This window comes from Homo sapiens, chromosome 3 (assembly GCF_000001405.40).
Source record: "Homo sapiens chromosome 3, GRCh38.p14 Primary Assembly".
NCBI lineage: Eukaryota > Metazoa > Chordata > Mammalia > Primates > Hominidae > Homo > Homo sapiens.
In genome coordinates this window covers 24,117,153-24,139,365 of record NC_000003.12, presented here as the reverse complement: position 1 = coordinate 24,139,365, position 22,213 = coordinate 24,117,153, and the positions used below count along the sequence as shown (strand labels likewise).

The 22,213-nt window shown below is 42.5% G+C and overlaps 1 protein-coding gene across 53 annotated transcripts in view; it reads left to right on the top strand.

The window, feature by feature from the left end:
- Positions 1 to 22,213, top strand: part of THRB (thyroid hormone receptor beta) — a 378,556-nt gene extending 356,343 nt beyond the window's left edge. For 52 of the 53 annotated variants that reach the window (NM_001374822.1, NM_001374823.1, NM_001374824.1 and 49 more), the window contains 3 exons: positions 5,904 to 6,050; positions 11,609 to 11,867; positions 16,241 to 22,213. In NM_001374822.1, the coding sequence (NP_001361751.1) occupies positions 5,904 to 6,050; positions 11,609 to 11,867; positions 16,241 to 16,482 (648 nt within the window). In that variant the 3' untranslated portion in view covers positions 16,483 to 22,213. The remainder of the gene's footprint in view (positions 1 to 5,903; positions 6,051 to 11,608; positions 11,868 to 16,240) is intronic. The other variant, NM_001374827.1, reaches the window with a different exon arrangement.

Sequence of the window (22,213 nt, the reverse complement as noted above, 5' to 3'; positions counted from 1 at the left end):
AAAGAAAAAGAAACAGAGACAGTGATTTGATCTGGATTTTAAATCTATATTTGGGTCTGAGAAAATTAGAGTCTTTGGCAAATGAGGAACTTTTGCAAAAGCCATTAAGATTTTCATAATAAATCTAAAGCCACTCTTTAAAGCTTCTCCCAAAAGCATTTAAATCATATAATTTTCTAGTTTTCTCCAATCTACTCAAATCTCTGAGGCTACAGAAATGCCTAATTTCACCACCAACAATTCATGTGTGATGACAGTAAGGATGAAAAGCAGAAGCAGGCTGAGAAGAGAACAAGCAGCATCTGATGCCAAACAAGGGAAAGCAGGTCACTCCACCAAGGGTAGCTCGCTTCTAGACCTCCAGTAGCAGCCCCTGACAGCAACAATCTTGTCTATTGACATCATTTATTATTGTCTGCTGACATTGTGTCATTATTCTGCTCCCTTAATTTTCATGCAAAGTTGTAGCTTTGGGTGAATGTCTACCCAAGTATAAAATGTGACCTTTAGGATCAGAGGAGACCTTTCCTACTTTTTCCCTGGCAGAGATACTGTCTGATTTCACACACTCAATTGGGGCAGCTTCAGACAAGGGGCATAAGCAGAAGGGTCAGACAGGGTGAGTGATGAGGCCATATTTGGTCTGTGTGCATAGCTCATAGTACAAGTGCAATCACGTCAGGAAGGCATCTATCACCCCAAGTTATTAGAATAACATCAGAAGAAGGCAGGATAATCTAGTAGTTACATGAATGGAGATTGGAACCAGACAGCCAAGGTTCCATGCTTGCCTTTGTTGCTTTTTTAAGTGTGACTTCTTTGGGCAAGTTATTTCAGGCTCAGTTGCCTTATGCCCTTGCTGAATGGCATAAAGCAATAGATACAAGTGGGTTAACACTGCCTGGCATATTGTTAGCAACCACGTAAGTGGTTACTACATGCACTATCCTTACCACCCCCACACCCCGCACTGCCACCATCTTATTCCTGCTCATCCCAGGAAAAGGGTGAGGCTGTAGTCATATCCCATGGCCCAAGGACCTTGAATTATTATCTGCCCAGGTCTTCCTGTCTAGCCTGGCAAAGGTACAAGAAGACATCCTATGAACAAGTGAAGAAGTGAGAGTCCCATCTGGCCCCACTCCATTCTGCATGTGTCAGAGAGTTACCTTTTCAAGCCAAGAAGTCCTTGGCTCTGAGCCAAGGACTCAGCAGAGGTCAGCTGGCAGCGTTTCCTACTCACCTTGAACAATACTAATGAAATAGTCAAAGCAGAAAGCCAGTTGGCCACGATTTGCATAAGACCAGCCTCACCCGTGCTGAGCAGGGGCTGAGGTCACCCCTGAACACACACCTGAATCTCTCCTTTTGCACCCTCCACCCCCACTACCCCAAGAAGTCATTCTGGATTCCTTACCCCACAGCCAGTCCATTTTTGGCCCTTGTTTTCAGCTGCCAATATACAACTGTAATTCTCTAGGCCTCTCCATCTCTACTGCCATCCCCATAGTGCACTTCAGCCTGCCCAAACCACAGCTGTTTCCTGCCTGTTTTTTCCTTTGACTCCCCGCATATCTTCTCCATGCAGTAACCATCGTGTCATGTCTATGCCCTGTTTACAGCCCTTCAGTAGATGCCCCATTGCATTTAGAATAAGCCCATCTCCTTTCTATGGTCTACAATGCCTAGCATCACGGATCCCCCTGCCTACCTCTGCTTCCTCATTTCATGCCATCACTGGGCTCTAACCACACGGGCCTCCTTTCTGGCTTTGGGACTTTGCACTGGCTTTCCTCTCTGCCTTGAGTGTTCTTCCTCTGGCCCTAAGGAAAGCTACTTCCTTGACATTCCTCAAGTCAAAGTCCACACATTGCTTCTCAAAGGGGCCTTGGCTGACCTTCCTTTCTCCTGCCTCCCCATGTATTATCATGTCACCTCCAGACTTATCACAAATTCTTCCACGAATACATGTTTCTTATTTATTGTCTATCTCCCCTCACTACAATGCAAGGTCCTTGAGGATACACTGTTCATTGCTGTAACCTCAGCATCTAAAACTAGGCCTGGCCCACAGTACCTGCTCAATAAATATTGGTATAAGTATACATTCATTCACTCACTCAACCAATAAGCATTCTGTCCTCCACAACTTGGCCCAATGCCTTGTACACAGTAGGCAAAGACAAGTAAGACTTATTCTCTACCCCCTTAAGTTCATATCTTTGGTGTGTACTTACATAACTATAATAAAAAGTGATAGTAATAAATGCCTAAATACCATATGACTCATAGTCATGGGCCACCATGTGTGTTTGAATGAGGTAAATGTCATTTCAAACTGAGGTCACCTGGGAAAACATCTAGGAGAAGATAGAACTTGAGTTGGGTCTTGAAGAGAAAATAGGATTTGGAAAAGACAGAGATGAGAGACAGAAGTGGGGGCTTTGGAGAAAGCAAAAGTCTGGAGAGAAGGCAGCAGTGAAATGGGAAAATGTAAGGCAAGCTGTAGGGGAGACATAGAGCAGACAGCTGGGCTAGCTCAGGAAGTCCATTTAGGGCAAAGAGAGGATATCAGAATGAGAGTTGAAAATACCACCATGAGCTAGCTCAGGCAGTTGGATCCACAGAGGCAAAAAGCAGGCTTTCCCCACAGGTCTACAGTGGTGAATCTACAAGCAAGCTAGAGACTTATCATCAGTATTGGAGCTTGATCTTGGGCACATAAATACATATGTGTATATGAGCAAATGTATTTCATATAGTAGTTTACGAGGCTATTAGCTATAATAAGATATCTAATGGGTTCAACTAATGTGAAATATTTATACTCTATTTTTAACATCTTCCAAATATTTTAGAAAATTATGTATTTTTGTTATAGGTGAAAAATCTTCAGGGAAGTAACAAACAGGGTTTCACTGCTCAACCTTGATTAACCTGATAATAACTCGGGTCAATTCATGGATATAGACAAACAGATAGATAGATTCTTTTTTGTTGTTCTGGTATCTAAGATCCATTATGGAAAAAAATCTTAATGATAAAATCAAAGGGTTTTACTTTGTTCATAGTTTTACTTCTAGCAATTTTGTAGTCCATTAAATAGCCAGAGGCTTAAAAGTGAATTTTTTATTCTACCTTGATATATATTTCCATCAGAAAACTTGTGAGCTTGTTACATTTGGGGGTTTAGTTTTACTTAAAATTGCCATATTTCCTTGCATACTTTCTCTCCTTTTTTCAAATCTTTACACATGTCACAAGTGGAATTCAAATAATCTACACACCCACAAATTGAATGAAAAAATTAACATCAGTATTAACCCACCAACATTTCAAAGGACACTCAGTGCCATTTAAATATATCAGATCAGCTCTATCAGTATTCATTGAGAGATGTTTAGATTCAGCCAGGCCAAAACAATGTTATTACACTTCTTAATTTTATTTTTATTTTAAAAAGTTCATCCTACATATATATAATTATATAGATATGTAATTAATATATATTTATGTATTATATATATATATATATATATATATATGACTCTCTGCCTTTTTGAATGTGTGCCCACATTCCTTTTATCAGTTGATCTTCATAAAAGACTTGTCAAGTAGACAAGGTCAGTGAGATGAGCCTCAGTTTCAGGAATGAGAAGAAATTATAAAGAAGAGCAGGGATATCTGAAGGCTGCAGGGAGCAGCATTACCAAAGGAGGAACACAGGTACCTTTTACTTTAGCACAATCTAGGTGAGAAAGAGGGAAGTAGAAGGAGGCTGTACATGTGATTATTTCATCAATTCTGCCTGCTCCCAGAGAGCCAGCCGAACAGTGGCCTTCCCTGGGCTTGCTATGCCAACAGTTGCCCCAAAACATTCTCAATCATTGTGAAACACGACAGAAACCAGGTTTCATCCACTCACTGCCAGCAACACACACAAAAAAATAAAGTAAAAAATAAACAGAAGACAATGCTGGATGGTCAAAAAAAGTTAAATGCTGCCAGCATTTGTTATGTATTAATAATATGTTTTTAAAACCTTCCCCTGAGGCTGTAAGCATGACTCCTGGGCTGCTCCTGTTGACCCTGGTGCTCTGGCACCAAGAAGAGTAAAAGAATCATCTTTTGCTTTTTCTTCTGCTAAAAATGTGATGTGAGCAGTAACAGGAGATATGCGGGAGGAGGCAAGGGAACTGGATTACTCTAAGCTGGACTTGGTTACTGCTAACTCAGTGGTTCTCAAAGAGTGGGCCCAGAGCAGCTTCATCAGCACACCCTGGGAACTTGTTAGAAATGCAGATTCCCAAGCTCCATCCCTGACCTGCTGAATCAAATACACTGGGGATGGGGCCCAGAAATCAAGTGATACTGACGCACAGTGAAGTTTGGGGGCCACTATGTTAGGCTAGTCTCACCACTGGCAGTGTCCTCACTGCTCTGCAAGTGAGGAATTCTATTTTGCTCATCTCACTCACAGTGTCAGTTCCTCATTCCCATCCCCCTTTCCTACCCCCATCTCCAAGCCCCTGGGTGCGGAAAAGAGAACTGGTCTTGTTCTTGTCTATTCACTGTGGCTCTAGGCAAAGGTGGCCACCACTGGGTAGGGCTTGAGTCTGTGATCTCCTTGGTCACATTCACATCTTTCTGGGAGACAGCTGGAGAGGCTGGCTAGGAGGGTGTTCAGAGGAGTAGAGATACTGTTCATTAGTGTCAAAAGGTCCACAGGGAGTAAAAGCCTTGAAGTAGGGGTGAGGAGGTGTGGAGCTCCGGGGAGACTGCTGTGTGGAGTCAGGGCCACCCAGATCGCAGGCCTGGCCTCAGCAGCTTGCTCTTAACCTTTCTGATCCCTAGTTTGCTCACCTGCGAATCAGGATTTGAATGAGGACTACTTGAGACAGGGTAGTGTGCAAAGTGGCTGGCTCACTTGTAGGCCACAAATAAATGGTGGTTATGATCATCACAAAGACAAGGAGGAGAAGTGGAGCAGACTCTTCCTGAAGGAAGCACTGGGTGACAGCAGGAGACACATGGACACAGATCACATCAGGGAGGTCACTGAATGAGAAACTCAGGAGTCAGATGGCTACTGTGGACGTTGGGAAGCATATAAGTCACCTGGAGGTCTTGCTAAAATGCTGATTCTGTACCACCTGGTCTGGAGAGGGGCCTGAGAAGAAGTCCCCTGGTGACACCCAGGCTGCTGCACTACGCTTTGAGCAACAAGGCCATGGATTGTTCTTGAGCAAGTAAACAGCAGAGAACTGCCCTAGGGACATTAAATACTAGTAAATTCACCACTCTGCCCTAAAGTTTGCCAAGTTTCCTGTAGACAGCCTAGCAATCTTCCCCCTCAACCCTCAGCTGAGACCACCTCAAACTGGAGTCTGTAGGGCAGAGGGGAGCTTCAAGCCCCAGCTGGGTCAGAAGCAAGAATCCACAGGGCGCTGTTTGCTAGGGCCCACCCATCGCTCTGCTCTATCACTGCCCACGGTGTGCCCACCTCCCACACACAGACACACACCAGCATGTGCAGTGCTCTGAAAATGCCATCCCAGAGCCCCTGGAATTTATGTCACCTTACCTAAGTATACACCCTTTGTGCATTCAGAAGCAGGACCCAAATTCCTGTCCTTTCTCTGATCTCTCTCTCTCTCTCTCTCTCTCTCTTTCTGCAGCAACAGTCCTGTAAACATTGTCACTGAGGGCCTATTAAAGCAATGGCCAAAACATATATCTTTACTCAAAGATGTGTAAACTGTACAGTTTGTTAACAAATGATGTGAAAACTGGAAACTGTACAGGATATCAGTTCAGAAGAGATTTTCTGCCACATAAGAACTATGATAAATAAAGCTCCCTTCAACTTCTTCATTTAAATCTTTCTTTTTTCTCCTCCTTAGCCAGAAGACATTGGACAAGCACCAATAGTCAATGCCCCAGAAGGTGGAAAGGTTGACTTGGAAGCCTTCAGCCATTTTACAAAAATCATCACACCAGCAATTACCAGAGTGGTGGATTTTGCCAAAAAGTTGCCTATGTTTTGTGAGGTGAGGATGTTGTTTTTCCTTCTGCATTATTCTTAATTATAGTTTCATCAGTTTCCAGGAATACTGGGTATTATTTACAATTTAATGTTAATTAGTAGGGACTTAATCATATGAAAGCAACGTCAGTACAAAACGAAAATGCATTCTATTTCATTTGGATTTCCCACTTTCTGTATTTAGTCATCATTCATTAGCTTGTCCGTGTAAGGCCCATCAAGATCCTATTCATCCCCCTGATTCCAGGCATTGAGAAATAATGATAGCAATAGATTCCATTTATTCTGCACCTATGCTGTCCTAGTTACCACACTCAGGTGCTCAGGTTTGCCCACATTCAATCTAATCCTTCTAACCGATTTGCAGGGTTGCTTGTATTAACCCCATTTTCAGACGGGGACAATCAAGATCAAAGAGATTAAGTTATCCAAATGTGACATCATGGTTAGAGCCTAGGTCTGTATTCTTCTCAGTGCATATCCCAGTGAGATGACTGTGTGGTCGTTTCTTAATCCTCAAGAATAAGTTAAATGCCCCTCATAGAACCAGGCTCTTAATATCCCCACAAATCTTTCGTCTTTTCCTATAAGCTCACTCTTGCTTGTCCCATCTTCAGGGCACCCTGTAGAGCTGTCCCACCGGAGTTCTTCGACTTTCCCTTTGGGACACTTGAACTTTATCAGGCCTGCCCTGTGGTGGCTGATGCCACAGTCTCTACAGTCAGCTACATGGGCAAGAATCCTAAACAAGTTACCCAATGTCTTCAAACTTCACTTATCTCATCTTTAAAATGGGGATTACAATAATGTCTACCTCTTAGAGCTGTTGAAAGGTTTTTTAAGTGGGATAATATATTTGTAAAGTGATTAGACAGTGCCTGGGTTATAATAAGTATTCCATAGTTTAACTGCTAATACTGCTTTTATTTTATCTGTTACATTTCCATCCTGCCTCTAACCTTCTTCTTTTTTAATCAAATGGGGTTATGTTTTCTGGAAAACTTTAAAAAAATTTCGTAAGATTCTTGTCTCTTGCTCTGTATACCTTCAAGAGGACCCAGAAAGATACCAAATAGAGAGGGTCACGGACAGCTGTGAGCCTCTTAGGTAAGCAGGCTGAGTGATAAGTGATCCTGGTCTCACCTAAAAAGAAGCTAAGTTTCCTCACCTGGAATGACTCCTGCTGCCTTGGCTTCCAGCTCTCTTCTGTCTTTGAGTTTGCAATAATGGGAGCCTAGCTGGAATCAGAGGGACACAGAGACCTCAGACATTATGGGGACACTTCTCATTGCCAATTTCTGAGCCTCCACAGAAGCCATACCCAGAAGGACAGGAAAGTGGGCTTCGGGAAACAGATATCTTGCCCCTAGACCTACCTGAGAGAGCACGTTTGCCTCCCTCTTAGCCCCAGCTTCACTGTGGTGGGGGCCAGGTGTCTTAGTTCAGGCCACTGCAACAGAATACCATAGACTGAGTGGCTTAAAAACAATAGAAGTTTATGTCTTACAGTTCTGGAGGCTGGGACGTTCACGATCAAGTTACCAGCAGATTCACTGTCTGGTGAGGGCCTGCTTCCTGATTCATAGACAGCTGTCTTCTCATTGTGTCCCTTCATGATGGACAGGACAAGGGAGATCTTTGGGATGTCTTTTACAAGGGCACAAATCCCATTCATTAGGGCCCCACTCTCATGACCTCATCACCTCCCAAAGGCCCCGCCTTCAATACCATCACACTGGGGATTAGGTTGCAACATATGGATTTTGAAGGGATACAGACATTCAGTCTATAGCACCAGGGTACCTGATATGCTAGTACCCACAGCCTTGCAGTAGCAATGACTCATACCCCACCCCTAAAGAAGTCAGTAGATACTGAGGAAGGGACTTTGACTTATATCTCTGTGTTGGCCATGGAGCTTCCCATGCCTTTGACGCCTTTTTTAGAAGTAGACATCTATTAACATTTTAGAGGATATTACAAAAATTATACGTATTCATTGAAGGTTTATTTATACAACATAATAAAGGTAATGATTTATGGTAACACTACCACAAGATTTTGGCACCTATTTTAGTCTTTTTTCAAATATTTGTGTGTGTGCACACACACATATACACATACATACATATATATGAAGTATAAAACATATTTAATATAATGCATACCACAATGTACTGTGTATGAAATTATTTTTAACTTTTTATTAAAGAATGTGGATATGTCATAAGAGTGCAGCTCAATAAATTTTTACAAACTGAACCCACCCACATGATCGGCACCAAAAGAAGCAGATCGTTACCAGCACCTGTCACTGTACCAACTTTTTACCTTCAATGGGAGGACATAGCGTTTACATATTTTTTCACAAAATGATTTCCAATGACCACATAGTATTCCAAAGAATACATCTACCATAAATTCTGTTATCTGTTTTTACTGGATCTATAGTTCATTTCCAATTTTTCACTAATAAAAATATGCTCCTGTGAATGTTCTGGCAACTATATCCTGCCCGCATCACTGACTATGTCTGAAGGGTAAAGCCTGGACATGGAATTTAAGGACCGAGATATACAGGCTTTTGATATGTGTTGCCAGAGTGCCCTCGAGAAAGTATGTGCACTCTCACATCTGCACCGAAGGGCTTGTTTCCCCTCACTCTTGCCAGTTCTGGCTGTCATCGTTCTCTTTTGTCTGAGGGGATGGTTTTGTTTTCCTGGACCTCTCTTGGTCCTCTCTCTGGCTGTGTCCCTTTGCCCCCAGTTCTTGGGTCTGAGGAGGAACTCTACTGAGTCTGTCACCCCTACAACTCTAGCCAGCCTGCCAGTCATATGGTACCCTTTGAATGCCACCGCCCCCCCAGCCCCTGAGATGGTTTTTTTCCAGTGTAAAACTCATGTAAACCACTGAAGAGATATTTCAGTTGAAGGAAGAAAACAGAAGCAGCAGCCATCTCCGCCACCAGGAGCAAACACACTGCGCACTTTCATCCACGGCAAGGGCGAGGGGTCAACGTGGAACTTTTCAAGCATGGGTTGTGGCAAGCTTATCTATCCAAGTTTCCCTAAAAGTCCAAGCTGTTTCATTTTTGATTCCATCTCTCCTTCTACCCTGATATCGTGTGGTCTGCCAATTACAAAAGACAATGGTGGCGGGATGGTGGGAGCACCTTTACAGCAAAGCACCTTTGCATGTACTTTCTGTCTTTGAGGCCTCCTGATGACCTTTAGCCTTTTATATTCTCTCTCAAACCCAAAAGAGGTGAATTAACTGTATAGGTTCGTGAGCTACCCATGGAGTGGGCTGGAGATCTCAGGTGGTCTTGAGAGCCAGGGGTCTCTTGCCAGAGGCAGTTTATCACATCTGCTATTCAAACTGTGTTCATGATAATTGTTCTAAGATCCACGCCAACCCACCAAACAAGACTGGCATGACACCAGGGGCTTCACAAGATCTAAAATCATCGCCGGCAGAGCTGCCAAAACAACATGCAAAACCACTCCTAGAGTGCAGGGCCCTGTCGTCTTTGCCAGTCAACCTGAGTGATGCTCTCCTAAGGAAGCAGGAAGAACCTGTGGGAGTATCCCTGCATCTCTGCCTGTCAGGCCCTTGTTGAGTGTTCTCACAATGAAAGCATTTTGGCAGGTGTCTAAGAGATTATTTGCCCACGTGTTGAAACAAATCTCACCAGGATCCTACAAATCCCTCTTAAAGGAAAAGGCATCTGGCCTAGTTTTTAAACCATTGGTGATCCTTTGCAAATACTTATTCAGCTTTTATTTAAATTTGAACTAATCTTCAACAGTTGGTATTTAAACTAGAAATTTGGAAAAGAAAATTTCTACTTCATCTATAATCAGAATTGGTTTCAAAAGTGGGGCCTGCCCCAGTTTGCATACTTTGTGACACATTTTAAAAATAAATGGTTTGATCTGATTAGTAACTTCTTGTTGCTGTTCTATGCTAGTGGTTCTCAAGAGTGGGATCTGTGAACCAGCAACATAAGCATTACCTGGGAACTTGGGGGAAATGCAGAAACTCAGAGGTTGGGGTCAGCAATCTGTGTTTAACAATCAGAACCTAGACAAAAGCAAATCACAGTGCTTTTTAAAAAATGAGCGGAAGGAGAGAATTCATATGTATGGATTCCAGAATCAAATATGCAATGACTTTTATTCTGAAGAAAAAGCCAAGCAGTTTGAAATTAAATGGTAAAGTGACTAGGCTGAGCTAGTAAAAAACATAAAATGCCCAGTATTTTAGATGTAATTCAGTTGTATTACTTTTATATAATAACCTAAATTGGACTGGTTGAGTATTGCCAAGAGCGTTTCCCAAAAGGAATTTGTAACTGCTCTAATGAAGAGACAGATATTAGGTGTAACTCACATATTTGTTGTTTATGGAAACTTAGTCATATCCATGGTAAAAAAAAAAAAAAAAAAAAAAAAAAGAGTTATGTTTCCTTCTTCTCTTGGCATTGGATTCTGACAGATCCAGTTTCAAATCCTAGCCTCACCCATGAAACATTCATTTGACCACCCCCGCCCCCACCCAGCTTGTTACCCTCTCAGTGCCTGGATTTCCACATCTGTAAGTAATATGGAATTAGAATATTTACTTCATTGTACTGCTGTGAAGATTAAATGAGGTGATGCATGGAAATCTGGGCATGATGCCCAATTCATCAAACACACCCATTTACTAATAGCTTTCCAAACTCCTTTGATAATGGCATTTAATTAAATAGTCTCCCCTTCCAGAAAATAAAATTCTTATTTTGCCTATAAGCAAAGGTATTTTTTATTATTAACGTTGCCACATTCTCACAAATCTTAACTAACAGGGTAACCAAATGAGCTTAAAAGGAGATTGCAACACTGGCAGAAAGACCCAGTGTGTTGAGTAATCCTGTGTCTAAGGTGCTGAGAAGAACACAACCTTGGGAGTCAGGAGGTCTGAATTCTGCTCTCCCCTCTGCCTTCAAGTCCCTGGGTGACTTTAGATGAAGCTTATATCTCTGGGCCTCATGGGCAACATGTATCTCTGCCAACAACCCTCTAGCTTTGTGCCAAGAGGCTACAAGAGCAAACGTGCTTCAAAAACCAAAAGGAAGCCCAGTTGCCAGCTAAACAGTAGGGTAAGCTGTTACCTATTCAAGCTACAAGACAAAAAACCAAACAAACAAAAATGGAGAGTTTAACATAAACCCTGCTCTCAAGCAGTTATCAGTTGAAGTTATAATACAAACCCCCAAACTGAGGGGTTATTAGCACAGTTTCACACACGACTGTAATAGCAGTTGGAGAACTGTGTCTGTCATAAAAGCAATGCAAACTCCTGAGGTTAAAGTTGGTGAAGATTACAGTCAACTTTGAGTATGAAAAATGGTTGTCGAAAGTCTGCAGCCAAGTAGGGAAGGGAAAACCATGGGCTCAAAGAATGCAGGACAAATGTTAATCACAGAAGGTTATTCCTATTGCTTTTAAGATACTGTATGTTGTTCCTGACTGGCATTTTTGCATTTGTTCTTTGCTGACATGAACTGGTTCTTTTCAGCTGCCATGTGAAGACCAGATCATCCTCCTCAAAGGCTGCTGCATGGAGATCATGTCCCTTCGCGCTGCTGTGCGCTATGACCCAGAAAGTGAGACTTTAACCTTGAATGGGGAAATGGCAGTGACACGGGGCCAGCTGAAAAATGGGGGTCTTGGGGTGGTGTCAGACGCCATCTTTGACCTGGGCATGTCTCTGTCTTCTTTCAACCTGGATGACACTGAAGTAGCCCTCCTTCAGGCCGTCCTGCTGATGTCTTCAGGTGAGTACGCCTAGACTCGTTAGTGGGCATCCAAAGAGCTTTTGCTTGTCTAGCGCTAATTCCAATCACTTGAGTTTTCAGTCCCCCTTTAGCTTCAGAAACATAGCTCACTCTTCTTCAGTAAGAAATTGCAGGTTTGCCAGTGGACTGGGAACTTAAAGGGGGGGCGTCAGATGTCTGATGCTTTTTGCAGTGTCCCAGGATAGAAAGAAGCCAAAGGAGCCATCTTAAAGACTCTACGAAGTGATCCGCCTTTGGTGGATACTGTGCAGCCCTCTTCGTAGTCTTTGGCCAAACCTGCCTCCTTCTGGTTTGGGGTATGCCAGATATGGATGTGAGTGACCACACGATTGTGTGTTAAGTTCTGTGTGTGGAAACCGCGGATGCAGGCTAGAATTTGTTCATGGCTTAGCTACAACTGAAGTTTTAGTTATCTGTTGCTAAATAGCACACCGACCCAAAACTTAGTGGCTTAAACATCCAAGATGGCTGGAGTTCAGCTGGGACATCAAACACTGGTTCAGGCCTCCCTCTATGCGGCCTTTCCTCCGGCAGGGTAGACTTCTTACTTGGCTGTTGATTTCCAAGAGAAAGAGTCCCAAGCACACGAAAACAGAAGTTGCAGATCCCATGAGGCCCAGTCTCAAATCACACAGGATCCCTTCATCCACACTGGATTGGCCCAAACAAGTCTGAGTGCCAGCCAGGACTCAACGGTCCCCCTGTAGATGGGAGGATAGCACAGAATGGGCAGCCGTCTGTAAGCCACTACACATCAAACCCTTTCAGGGAAGATAATTTTAAATAGAAGTGGTTTCAGAGTCCTCTGCATTTTCAGGGCACCCAAGTGTAGATGTGCTTTGGCACTTGTCACTCTGCACTGTAACTACCTGCTTCACTTGTCCACGTAAGTCCCTGTGGACTTCTTTTTTTTGAGGACATAGATGTGTCTAACTGTACATCCAGCACCTAGGCCAGTGTGCAATAGAATTCAAGAAATGCTTATTGGATAAATGGCTGAATATGTGGATAAAATATCGGTCACAAGTACATCGAGAATTCTTTGTAGAGTTGCTGCTTCCTGGTTAACTCAGTAGGAAATTTTTTTTTTTTAACCTGAGACACGGTCTTGCTCTGTTGCCCAGGCTGGAGTGCAGTGGTGTAAAGACAGCTCATCGCAGGCTTGACCTGCTGGGCTTAGGAGATTCTCCTGCCTCAGCCTCTCCAAGCACACGCCACCACCCCTGGCTAATTTTTTATTGTTTTGTAGAGAGAAACAGGTCTCACTATGTTGCCCAGTCTGGTCTTGAACTCCTGGGCTCAAGTGATCTTCTCACCTCAGCCTCCTAAAGTGCTGGGATTATAGGCATGAGCCACCACGCCTGGCCTAGAATTCTTTTTTTAAAGCTAATCTAGAAATGTATTTACTATAGGAAATTTAGATATGGCAGACTTTTAAAAAAAGAAAGAAATAATTCTTTTTATTATGGAAAATTTCAAGGGTAAGCAGATAGAATAGCATAATGAACTCCCATGTACACTGTGGCACCCAGACTCCAGACCGGCCTCCTACACTCCCCACCACCTCCTAATGTTCACACCTTGGATAATCTCCTGTCCTTCAGTGTGTGCAGGACCTGTACCTTGCTTCTAGCCAAGAGAATATGGCAAATTTGATGTCACCCCTTGTGATTACATTACATAATCTAAGATTCCCTCTTGCTGGCAGACTTGCTCTAGGGACTCTCCGTGCCAGCTTCATGAAGTAAACCGCCATGTGGGGAAAGTTCCCATGACAGGAGCTATAGATGACCTCTAGGGCTGAGGGTGGTCTCCAGTGACAGCCAGCAAGAAATGGGGCCCACAGTCGTTCAGGAGAATTAGTCTCAAAGAAATAAAATTTATAGCTTATCCAAGGACTCCTTGTGTGACTTTGGGTGACCCCTAGCTTCTCTGGACTTCAGTGACCTTTAAAATGAAGAAATTAAGCTACATACACGGGAATTATATTTCTGGAGGGACTCATGGTAATTTTTTTAGCTGAGATTTTAGAGGTACAAAGACAGTTTTAAATAATGTTGAATCACACCACGAGAAAGCTGTTTCTCTGACGGTTTTCTTCCTGGTTATATCTCCTTCCAAATAAGGCAAGGAGAGAGATTCGGTGTGGTGCTAGTCTGCCTTTAACACCTCTCTTGACACTTACCTTCTTTTTTAACAAAGAGAGAGTGGATCTCAGGAGCAATGTTCAGCCAGAACCTTCAGCTCCAAAGTAACAAAGGCTTTTGCCATGCATCTATTTTTGTGGTTATCTTCTGATTTATGTCAAATGGATTTTTATTACTGAATAATAAGATGTTTCCTCTGTAGTGGGTCAGTTTAACAGATTATTAAGCAAATAATCTAAGTAAGGTAGATAAAAGGAAAAGTAGGTGGAGATGACAAAAACTGTGAATGTGATGCCAAACACTATCAAACACCAAACTGAATGATTCTTCCCAGTTCTCTCATGTTGTGAGGCTGACACTGCCTGACAGCTACAGGACAACTTAATAACTTTTCACAATCCACCCTCCCCAGTGATGTGGACCCTCTTCATTAATACTGCCAGGACCAGAAAAATATTACAAGACATTGTGCATTTGGCAAATGATAGCTGCGTGTCAGGGCCCCAAGTCTCCAGTTCTATCATGGGGCCTGATGTTCTAAGCCCCATGTTTTGTGTGCCATTTCGGTTACACAATATCTTAGACTTTTTCTTCAAAGACTTTTCCAAGAGCCACTACTTCTAAGTTCCTTGGTCCCACAGTGCAAAGAGAAAAAATGAAAATGATCTGAAAGACATTTCTTTAAGAACTTTTGTCTTAAGGAGTTAAAATGGTCTTCAGTCTTTAAAATGTTTCTCTCTTCATAAACCTGTTCAGTGTGATTCAAGCATCATCAAAATGTCAATTTGTACTCGCTATGTCATTTACGTGGCCATCTCGTCTTTATCTCTTTGATGCCACAAAACCCACATTATATTTTTCCCTTTGAAAGAACACATCCAAAGCAATAATATGTTGATCTTCTATTTGGGTCAAAAATTAAAGGATCCTGTGGAAAATTCTTGCACACTCAAAGAAAGAGAGAAGATAGGGGAAAGGGAGAGAGGGAGAACCAGCAAATCTGCAGAGCAGCTTCATCAAATATGAAGGAAAACACAAGATAAAAATGCACGAATTGCCATTTGTGCTAAATAGGGGATTCCAAAAGCCCATATGGTTTGTTAGTTTGTTTAGACTCAGAAGGGTGAATTGAGACATTAGCCCTGATCCTTCCTTTCCAATGAAGCAGAACCCTGTTTCGATTCCTATTGATACAGACACCTCAATAATTGGACCTTTGAAGTGTGAATTCATTTGATCAGAGCCACAAAGAACAAACTGAAGAGAACTTAGCAGGGGCACGTTGGGCCTCCTGGAGCTATTTGAGGAATTCATCCGGGTTTATAGATTATTTTTGTCAGCCAAGTGTCTGCAGCCCAACTATTCCCCAGTTGCCCAGCCTCCTTGTGTCACCCCTTTGTTTGCCACTTTTGGAAACTGACTTGAGCCTCTCCCACATACTATGGGAAGCCCAGTAGTCTGCACAGGACTTGGGAAGATTTGCTGGGCTTTCCAGGGTCCCGGTGTCTTCTCACTCCAGCTCCCACTATAGCTGTTCTCTTCTCTGCATGGGGTGACTCTGGCACAGCTCCCCTCCCCTTTTCATTTCAATTCCAAAATCATGACTAATACAAGGCTGCTACTGGTAGCAATTTTACTAAAGGCATAAGGGAAGGGAAAGGCCAGTTCATTGCAGCCTGGAAGACAACACAAAATTAAACATGGTGTTTCTTGGTCCTCAAGGAAATGTCTTACTATTCCGCGTTCCTCCTTTGGCCTCAGGCCTGCTGCAATGTCCCCAGTCCCTTCATATATCTCCCCCTTCTATGCATGTCCACGCTCATCCTCTCCTCTCTGCCAGGCAGCCAGTGAAAATTCAAAATTGTTCCCCTCATCTTGCAGAATATTTCAGCTATGTCAGGCTTCTCCTTCTGTACCCTAGGAGGGAGGCATCACCTTTCACACTCAAGAAGGTAATTCACACTCAAGCTAAACTGTCTAAACAGAGATATTTATCTGAACAAAGTACTGCCTCTCTTCATATAAATGATGCCACTCCCCTGGTACCTGGTCCCTGGAGCACCAGAGTTCACGCTGCATCCATGCTCATGGCTAAGAGGGAAGACCCTAGATCTGCCCGCCCCCCAATAAAGGCCTGGAATTGGACAAAGCAAGCCTTCCCCCTTCCATCTCTGAATCAATGTCCATCTTCTCTCTTCCCCGCAGATCGCCCGGGGCTTGCCTGTGTTGAGAGAATAGAAAAGTACCAAGATAGTTTCCTGCTGGCCTTTGAACACTATATCAATTACCGAAAACACCACGTGACACACTTTTGGCCAAAACTCCTGATGAAGGTGACAGATCTGCGGATGATAGGAGCCTGCCATGCCAGCCGCTTCCTGCACATGAAGGTGGAATGCCCCACAGAACTCTTCCCCCCTTTGTTCTTGGAAGTGTTCGAGGATTAGACTGACTGGATTCATTCTCATAATTCCTACAGCACTACTGGGTGTCATTTCATTCCATTGCCTAGCTCTTTTTTGTTTGTTTCTTTGTGTTGGGAGGGATTATTTGGGAGGGAAAAGGGAAGTAGTCCTTGGCATAGACATGGATGAAATTGCCCCTTGAATGCGGGTACTTGAAACTATTGCATTTCGTTCTCCGGTCCTGTGATGTGAATGCTCTGAAGGTTTTATGGTTGTGGAGGTGGGGTGGGGGACAATCATTAACTCACCAGCACCAAGCATCACCAGCTCCCACCCGTCCCTGGTCCAAGACTTGAGTCAGCAAAATGGCGCCACAGGACACTAAAGAAGCCTTAAAACCAAGATAATACGACCACCTCCACCCAATCCTGATGTTCGCAGGGCTGAAGTTAACAGAGCACAGACCACCTTTAGTTAGATGTGGCTTTCAGCCTTTTAGGGAAAGACTCGAACAAATTTTCATCTATTCAAGAGCATGCTGTTTGCAGCACTCTTTATGGTCTCCTAGGAGCATAACTTGGAATGTACAGGAATATTTGTGTCCTAAAAAAATCAGCTGCCCTTCCAATATCATTTTTATAACGTTATGGTTTAATTCAAGTTATACAAAGGTGTGACTCAAGGATGTGCAGGTATTGACTGATGGAGGCCAACAAGGAAAATATTTTTTTTCAGTGAGCCCAGAGAAATTAGAAATCTTCACCAATGTCAGTGACTGCATGGTTTCCAAAAATTCACATAGTATTACCTCACAGTAGGAAGGCTTCTTTCCCATTTAGGCTCAGAGAACACTTTTACAGAAATCAAACCTATTTACAGGGTGGCACCCCTTTTCTGTGGCATCTGATCTGTCATCTCCCAAGCTCCTGAAGTTCTTTATCCAGGTTGTATCTTTGCTGAGCTGACAACAGATTTCTCTATGGATCAAATATTCTAATCAAGGAAAGATACGGTGAAACTTCAGTCTTCTTCTGGAGAAATGCTGAGGCGAGATTAGTGCAGCTACATTCTGAGTTGAAGGAAATGCAGTGTTCTGAGGGCCCCTTTGTGTCCTGATGGCTGGAGGACGCTTCCTCCTGGTTAGATCCTCAAGCTCCTTGCCTCATTGACAAATGTCTCCTAGTCCCCTTTTTCCCTCTGACTCTGAGGAACTAAATAGCTTGACTATCTCTAAACAGAGACTGGCCCTGCCACTGACCCTCCTGTCCCTCTCATAGCATACCCTGACAGATACTCAATAGAAAACACCTGCAGACCATGTGCACACTTAACTTTCCTGCCCAACCTGCCTCCCCAACGGCCCATGCTAGAATAGCTTGTGCCCAGAAAACAAACAGTGACACTTCATCTCTTCAGCGTCAGAAAATGGGCATAGAATGTACCCATGCAATTGAATGTATCTCATTCTCCACTGGCATAGTAGATATAAACTATTCCTTTGCCTACCTTTTACTGCCTTATCCTGGAAATATTGGGGAAAATAAGCCATATCAGTGAGATTTACCTAAAAACAAAGGAAGGAAAGTCACTATGGAAACCAAGTAGATGCTTTTTGTAAGTTTGGTGGAGCATAACTGGCCCAGAAGTCTGGGTGCCTGAGTTCTAGTTCGTGCTCTGTCAACTGGTAGATTTGTAATTCTAGGTCTTGGTTTTCTTACCTGGTGAATAAGTCATGATCTCTAAAACCCTTCCTGCCCTTAATATTGTCTGAATTTCAAGGGGAAAAAAAAAATCTGGTTCCTTTAATTATTTTTTTTTAACACTTAAATTCCTAACTTTATTAGACAAGAAGTATGGCCCACTTAACAGTTAAGGAACGTAAATTTGTTATTGGCTCGAAATAATAATTTGACACAATACTAGTCAACCATTTAGAGGCCTTGGAAAAAGAAGAGGAACAGCACTGAAAATTCCAAGTATGATTGGAAATTATCTGGGAGCGGGGAATTAAATATTCAATGCATGAAAGCAATTGTACTGGCTTCTGGGAAAAAGGAAACAAGAACATTGCTATGGAACTTGTTACCCAGAGAAAGGAAGTGAAAAGATTTACAATTATAAGCACGAAATTCATTGGCAGATTACCTGCTTTATCTACAGACAGATTGTTTTGGGGTTTGGTTTTGTCTAGGCAGCCTCTGGCCAGGCTCCTTAATTGCTTGCTCTGCTAATATTTCAGCTTCCTCTCTTGACTCCTTGAGGAACCAACCGCTCTTTGGAAGACAAACACTTAGCCACCTCTGTGCTCCAGGGTAACCCTGAGAAGCTCTGCTGTCTGGGGCAAGCTTTCTTTCCAAAGGGAATGAGAGGAAGGCAAGCAGGCAGGGTCCTGCAGCGTCAGGCCTTCTGGGGAAAGTTTCCTCATTTTGTTTGACAGGGTCCTCAGTACATCAGACACCCAGATTTGAATATAAGTTCAGAGCCTGATCTCAAGCTAAATCAGAATGCTTTGGGGACTAACCATGATCGAGAATTGGCCAAATAGTATGGCATATAAACAGCCATCCAGCCAGCCGCAAGTAAAGGAACGTTTGATCCTTGGCACCTTAAATGATTGATTGCCTTCAATAGGCAAACTGCTGGTCTGGAAATCTCGTTGAAGGCTGAATACTTCATGCGGAGTAGGACAAGCCTTAGCCCACCTTCAGGTTGAAAGGAAAGGCCATAGGACTCAAAAGATAATGACTCTGAAACTAAACTCCTTCCTTCTGAAGCTGACAGAGGTACTTAGTGCATCTCAAGACTCCATCTCATAAAACTCATTTGTGAGGGATTTGCTCTAGATTTTTCTAAACATTTTTTCATCTATTGTCCAGACTTGCAAATCCAGTGTGGACCTGATGGAGATACCCTTCACACCTGCGCTCCCACCCCCTCGGCAGGGAGACGTCTCAGTAGAGGAGAACACACCCATTATGCTGGGATTTGTATTTATAAATCACTTCCCTTTTAGGGATGAGCGGTGTGGGGCGTGTGTGCGTGTGAGTGTATGCGCGTGCGTGTGTGACCCTCAAGTGTACTTTGCTCAATTTAGACGTGCAGTATTTCCAGAAACAATGAAAAAAGTAAGATGTTTTCTTCTTTATGATTCTGCTCAAAACACCACGTGCCGCCTCAGAGCTTTTTCTAGAGCCTCGGTCCTCAATGACGCGCTTGACCTGTTGATGCCTCAGCCCAGCGAAGCCCCTCACCTGTGCCCCGGGCGACAGCTCTTCAGTGTGCAGTGCAGGCCTGGGGTGGACTGCCAGGCCTTCGCTCTGTGCCAGCAACGCCGTTCTTGTTGCTCCTCCATGAACAGGGGTACAAGCCCTGGCCCCTCCTCGACACTAAGCCCCCCACAGACTCAGCCTCCAAGGAACCGCTGAGCACCCTTGAAGCATGTCATTGTCAGTGATACCTTTTTATTCTATGGAACTCTAACCTATTCGTGTCATATTGACCTTTTGCTGCATGAGTCATAAATTATGAAATCAGTCTTACAGTTTTTGAAATGTAGCCAGCATTTGTAAGGCTAAACCTTTTTCATGAACTGAATTTAAGTGAATAACCAAGCCACAGTTCCTCCTCAAATGGAGAGTGATGATCGACATTTGAATCTCTTTGCCCTTTCCAACGGCTATGGCATCAGGTTCTAAAATAAGCTCGTAATTTTTCCTGTTATTTTAATAATATGGAAATATTAGCATAGTGTTTCTTTTGATAGTGATAGACTATAATCCATATTTAAATTTTATAGAGAAGAAATTTTATTGTACTGTGATGTAGATATTTATTATCCAGGTAAGGATTTGCCCGGTGTGTATTTTTTACAATTGAGACATTTTACTTTAATCTTTAAAAAAAATGCATTAAAAACACACTCAAAAAAAAAAAAAAAAAAAAAAAAAAAAAACCAGACTGGGGGAAAAAAGGTTTGGCCTTATCACAGAATTTTTACTGTGCTGTATAAATGTTTGCAAATGCGAAAAGTGTGCATTTATAGTGTGTTTCCACATTAATTAATGCCGCCTTCAAGAGCAATATTGTGCAGGTAAAACGCTGTTTGTGGCTTTCTGTTGCACAGTTAAAGCTGACCCACCCTATGCACAAGACAATCAAATATAAATCTGTCCTCCTCAGGATGCAGATAATACTCATGTAAATTATGGAGCACAATGTAAGACAAAAGGAGACACTTTACATATGTATTGTTGATACAGAAATTATCAGGGCATGAATGAGCTGATGTGACATTATGCCACTTCTTTCTTTTGGTTCTCCCTTATTAACTTGGCATTTTTAATTTGACCATAGAGCCAAATTAGTTCTCCATGCTTTCTTCGTAGAAAATCCTTTTTTTTCCCATAATGTTTTCATGCCCTGAGAATCAGAAAAATACTACAGAATAGAAAAAGATTTACAGTCATTGGAAGATTTGTGTTTTGCAAACAGTGTTAAGTGATATTGCTAGATGGTGATATTTTTTTCAGCCTAAAACTCTGTTGAAATCTGTGATCAAAATGTTTTAAACTATCCAAAAAAAATTTGTATATTTGGGAAAAATGGATTTTTACATAGCTTTTGTATGCAGATATAAAACTGTAATTATGAATATAGTGGGCGTAGATAAACTCATAAGCTTAAATTCTAAAAAAGAAAAAGCTTATAACAGATATATTTTCCTGTCTCTTTCTTTAAATATTATTATTTTCTACATAGGCAAAGAGTTGCCTGCTCTTCTCACTTCAGCTGCTGCCAAAAGACGGAACCACGGATGTAAGGACATTTATTTCATAAATAAACATCTACTAGAATAAGCAAATTTACTTGAGAAGAAACTATGGAGGGAGAGAAGAAACTAAGTAAAATGCTGATGGGGGGTTACCTCTTTGGAAGGGGCCACAAAGATGAAGGGAGGAGAGAGGTGAAGTTTTGCAGCTCAAGGACAACATTCATCTTCTCATCTCAAATTATTCAGGAATATTACTAATGGAATTATGTTAACATCAGCTGCCAACATATATCTCAATCTCTGTTGCCCTGAACACATGTTAATTGAGATTCTTTCTATGACAAGTAACAAAAAGCTAACTCAAACTGGCTTAAGCAGAAAGCTAATTATTGACTTTAATATCTGGGATCTAGGGTATTGCATACCAAAGCTTCAGGCATGGCTGGATCTGGGTGCACTTACTCAGTATTCTCAGGAAGCTCCTTTTTTTGTCATTCATGTAGACTTAACATTCACATGGCCTTTCACCTTACGGTGGCCTCCAATAGCTCCAGGATGAGCTTTACAGCTCCAAATATAGTGAAAGGAGAATTTCTTTTCTCCAACAATTCTAATGAAAATTCTGGCCTAATTCTCACTGGCCCAAGTTCAGTCATGTGCCCATTCCTGAGCCAATCACTGTGGTGAGGAAAACAGATGCATAACCAACCTTATCCTCAGGAATCCTGGAACTGGGTGAGGGGAAAGAGGGACAGTCAGCTTCATCTAAACTATGGACTGAGAGTTGAGGCAAGATGATTCCTGAAAGAAAATTCTAAGTCTTGCTGCTATAAGTGGAAGAGAATGGTGGGCAAGCAAAAGCAACCAGTGCCCACACCAAAGGTAAATCTAAAACAACATCCCATTTCAGTACAGCAAGCGGTTCTCCTTCACACAGAGGAAGCTCATCTCCAAGTTTTTATTTGGCCAGGACATGAACCAAATAAACACCTTCCAAAGAAA